The 5,126-nt window shown below is 33.9% G+C and overlaps 1 annotated feature.

Annotated features, from left to right (window-relative positions):
• Positions 762-1,428: an enhancer, noted in NCBI's record as "OCT4-NANOG hESC enhancer chr16:62484136-62484802 (GRCh37/hg19 assembly coordinates)". NCBI's record gives its function as "activates a minimal SCP1, AML or CMV promoter by ChIP-STARR-seq in primed H9 embryonic stem cells {active_cell/tissue: H9 hESC(primed)}" and the evidence as "EXISTENCE:reporter gene assay evidence [ECO:0000049][PMID:30033119]".

The raw sequence follows: 5,126 nt of genomic DNA, 5'->3' as shown, positions 1-5,126 counted from the left end.
TTTTCATTTAATTATTTAAAAACACCTACATGAACATACACACACACACATCTTGCCCATTAAGAATGAGTGGAAGTAGTACACACTGATCCTTAACATGTGAAAATTATTCTGTGTCGTAAGCAGTCTCTCATTAACTCCTTACCACACTATTCTTTCTAGTAAGACTGGCTAATTAATATATGTGGTCTTAGAATTTAATTCTTAATCAATTTATTATTTCCTGCTGCATTTTGAGGTATCTCTTCTGGACAATATATCTAACTGGTCACAGACTATAAAATACATTCTTCATACACTTAAGTATAAAATGATGTAATGACATATGAACTCACCACGCAAGATGATCAGATAATATTATGCCTACCTTAGTTTTTAAAGTATCTTTTCCAGGAGTCACTTTTACTGTTCTTTGAGCTTTCTGAGTTTTCTATTAACATTTAATAAATATAAGTTGATGATTAGCTCTTGTCAGTAGGCTTTCATGAAAGATGTTTCTATACAAGTATGCAAATCCATTAATAAAACTCATTTGATTTAGTAGTGTCTTATAGTTACCAAATGCAGAGGGACATTTTTTTCAACTTATATAACAGAGGAAAAGATGCAGTTTCAGGAATCTAAACGTAGTTTTCTTTAAAAAATGTTACCAGTTTTGTAATTTCCACATGTATGTTACCACACACAAGTTTTATGGATCAATTTAAATGCTAAAACCCACCTAACGAAAGAAAAAGATTTCAGAGATACTTGAATATATATTAATTTAAGAATCTGATGTTAGTCAATAGAAAGTTATTCCAGATGTCATATTTCTTAGGACTGCGTTAACATTCTGTTTTCTCCCACCATTCAAATACCTACTCTCCAAATTCCTTGGTAAAATAATTGGATTATAGAATAACTTCATAGTTCTGTAAAATAATTTAATTGTCATAACACCTCTAGTTTCTCTGTGAAACCAAAGGTTTAATTTGCTTCTGTTGTAGCCTAATTTCTGCTTGACTTTTTAAGGTACTGATAGTCAATGGAGAAAAAGTAGGCGACATGTTAAAATGTCATCGAAGTAGCATTCTATTTTAAACAAAGACATATATTCTAATTCCAATGACAACGATAAAGCACTCCAGGGTGTGCTTTAATGGGCCATTAGTTTTCTTCTCGGGTGGTTGAAATTCTTTGGCCTATAGCCTTATGCTCCCCTGAGTCTCTGGGCCTCTATTAGACCCATTAAAAACACCCTGGAATGCGTTTTTTGTCTAATGTGATTATTATAAAAATGTCCAAGCTACACTTTATTCCCCAATTTGCAATAGCACTGGCATTTCACTTTCCTAAATGTTGACATGGGGGTCTGCAGAAAATATAGTGCAGAAAATCAATTAGAAAGTAAAAAGGAAACTTTCAGGCCTGTGTCAGTGGGTGCAAGAGGAAAAAAGAGAAATATCTGAGTTAACTAAGTAAGAGTAATTTTCACACCTGTTAAATGTATAGGGGTTTGAACAGCTTTGGCAAATCTCTGCAAATCACAAGCTTGACAGATTGTTCTCATCTTATTCACATTATTTTCCATCCTTCTCTGTAGTAGACCGAGACTCCTTTTTCTGTGTGCCTCTACTTCAATACAAATACACATTTCTTTTATAACACTAGTAAGAAAATAGACCCTGTAATAAGAGAAAACTAACTAGCTTTCAGCATCAAAGAGAGAAGAGGCCAGGAGTGGCATGCTGATTTTACTGGCCAGCAAAAGTTCTTTGAAAAAAGCATTGTTCCCTATTAAAAATGGTTCTGGTGGAGATATCAATATGTTCCTGTTTTTCCATTCAATGATGGAATCCAATCCATCAAATTATCAAATTCCATAAACTAATCATGGTAACTGATCTACCTCTATACAGTTACTAGTGTTAAGATTATCAAAAATAGGCCAGAAAACCTTCCTTACAATTTCATACTGGGAAATTTAAAGAAATAACTGATGTCTCTTCTTTAGAATTACAAGCAGTAAAATATAGCCTTGGGAGTTTTGGTAGCCTTTGTTCTTGCCTTTGTTCTATTTTTTGGCTTCGTTGTTTTTGCATTGTTCTGTGTTAGAATGATAGATAGATAGAGAGATAGATCATTTGATCGATCTGAGAGGGAGGAGAGGAAGTGGAAGATGGAGAAGGAAGGATAGAGTGAGGAAGGGAGAGAGGATGGGAGAAAGCCTGATAAGTTAATGTGAACCATTTGGCTTAGCTATGATTGAAGGAAGACTAGTCTTTACAAGCGTCAGTTACGTTATCAGAAAGGGGTACCGATCCACATCCTGAGAGAGGGTTCTTGGATCTCTCACAATAAAGAATTTGAAAAAAAATAAAAATAAAAATAAAGAATTTGGAACGAGTCCACAGAGTACAGTGAAAGGAATGAAAGACTAGCTACTCCATAAACAGATCAGGGCATTTCCAAACGCAAGAGGAGAAACATGTCCACCTTAGGTCCAGTGCTTTTTTATATATAACAAAGCAAAATAAAATCACAGGGGAGAAGTGCTCTGCTACAACAGCTTGTGACAGGATTGCTAATCTTTTTGTAATTACTGTCTTCTTCAAGAATCTATATTATTATTTTTAAAGTGAAACTTAAACTAAAAAAATGCTTTTGTCCTTAAGACATTGGAATATGAGGACATTTCCAAGTCTATTATTTCCTGGGCCTGATAAGTCCTGGGTCTGTTCAGTAAATATTATTAACTTGTTCCCTTACCTGCAGATATCCCGTGACTAAGAATGCTTAACCTTCTGGGAATGCAGGCAGTAGGTGTCACTCATTTTACCCAGCAGCTATTCAAGATGGAGTCACTCTTGTCTGAGCACCTCTGACAACATGAACTAGTAAGTTACCTTTTCTGCTTACGTTATGCAGGTTTTTTTCCTAGCTTGAATGGAAGGTATATTGGCTATTGTATTAGACTTATATTGACATTCTCTCTAGAATTTTCTATTTTTTTGTTCATCATCATGTGTTCTTTCATTCTGATGACTCCTCCATCTTTTTCTTCCTCCAGGAGATGTCACATCCAATTAAGAACACATTTTCTTTCTTGCTGACCTTCTTCTTCTCAAAATCTGATGCTGTCCAAAGTTGCAAATGTAGCCAATAATGGGGTCTCTTTTGATTCTGACAATGTTTAAAGTCCTAGACAGTAATGTCTTTCATTGTCACAGGAACTAAAAAGGAGCCACACGGAGACTCTTCAGCGTTACCTAAGAAAGTCAGTGTGATGACCACATTGGAGGCATGAGCACTGATAATTCCTCTTCCAGGGTCATTCCAAGATTTAGAGTAAGTAATAGATAGCCATATTAAAACTGTGCATAAGCGATCCAACATGGATCCCATTCCTGCTATAGTTAATATTTTCTGGTTAAAGAAGCAAAATTAGTGTTTTCTCATTTAAAGAAGTTTAAGATTTTCACCCTTGTTTTGGACAAACTGAGAAACAAGCAGAGATGTCCAGGAAGAGAGGACTCATGTCTCCAAGGCAGGATTCTTTCTTTGTTTTCTCTAGTCAGAAGCCCTTTCTTTCTTTCTTTTCATCTGATTTTCTTGAGACCTGTCAGTGCCTGACATTTGGTTCTTGCAACTTTTATCTTTTCAATGATGTTCATCCTTTCTCCCTACAGCTTCCTCCAATTCATCTAGAATTTCTAAATAGTAATGCTCATGACTAATAATGTCCCTTTCCCTCACTGTGTCTAACTAGGGCCCTTTTACACAATTATTATTCTATAAATGTTTAATGAATGAGGGGATTACTGAACTAATATAAATTGTTATGGCAATTAGTAAATTATGGGCAATACTCAAACAACACCCTAACAAAAACCACAAATCTTAAAACAAAGCCTATGGTTGTTGCAGAGGAAAATAGAACATATTTAAAATCGCTACCCTTGTAAATTGGAAATTCTCTGATACAGATCAAAACTTTCTCCAGAGCACTTGAGACTACTCGTTCAATGGCTGTCTTCCCTAGAAGATTATGTTTCATGAAGACATGAACTAGATGAGTCTCTTCAACTATTTTCTACCAGTGCCTAACAGAATTCTTGTGCTGTATTAAGTATTTACTGTGTGTTTTTGAATAGATAAATGAATGAGTAAAGAAATGAATTAATTCTATGCATATTTTCATATTAATAAATATGTGCAGTACATGTTTATTAATAATGATTTATAGGTAACTTCCGATTCAGTGAAATGAAACCACCTTTGGAACTTAAATTCTCCTGTCTGAGCTTTCACAAAATTATTTTACTTTATTAAAAAATGTCATAACTTCTTGGATTGTTATTTGACAATCTTTGACTCCAAGGAAGCATGCCAAAATAGGCAAAGTTTCCAGTGTTTCAAAATTGGACCTATAAGTAAAGGATATTAAAATATTTAATAAAAATGAGTCAATTAAAAGAAGTTTTTTTCCTGAGATTATACTCTTTCTACTTTTCTGGTGTTAAGATGTCCTCTGCTTTAGAAATAATGATAATTGTAGTCAGGGACAATTTTAGAAACGTTTAAGTGTCCTTAAAAATATATGTGTGTATAACCCTGCATTAGCACTGTAGTTTAATTTTATTTATCTATGAAACATCTTCTTAAGTCATTAAGATTCCACCTGCATAAAATTTGTTAGTTATTATTAGCAAGTAGTTCAACAATCATTTTCACTTTCATGGCTTTAGTACTGAACTACTTAGCCAATTCAATCTTGACTCATTCTTGAATAGCTGAGTTAAACAGATTTTGCAGGGGGAAATCATCAATCATAATTAAATAACTAAACCTTGATGCTATTCACTCTAGAACAATCTTTTCAATAAGAATTATCTATATCAGGAAAACTCAATTGCAAATCAAGGTTCTGACTTTTTGATTTCATATTTAGAGTTGTATCTGAAACCACTAATCTGTTTTCTTTATTACTGTCATCTTCATACATGTGGAATATATCCAGGATGCACCTGATGCCAGACTTTCTTTGTAAATAAGTTTCAGGTCTTTGTGCTTTTCTTGCAACTGCCTTTTCCAGACATCAAATTTTTAAAGTCAGAAAATCAAACCATCTATAGTAGAAAAAA

Source organism: Homo sapiens, chromosome 16 (assembly GCF_000001405.40).
Source record: "Homo sapiens chromosome 16, GRCh38.p14 Primary Assembly".
Lineage (NCBI taxonomy): Eukaryota > Metazoa > Chordata > Mammalia > Primates > Hominidae > Homo > Homo sapiens.
Note: the sequence above shows the minus strand (reverse complement) of the source record. Positions and strands in the feature narration are given on the sequence as shown.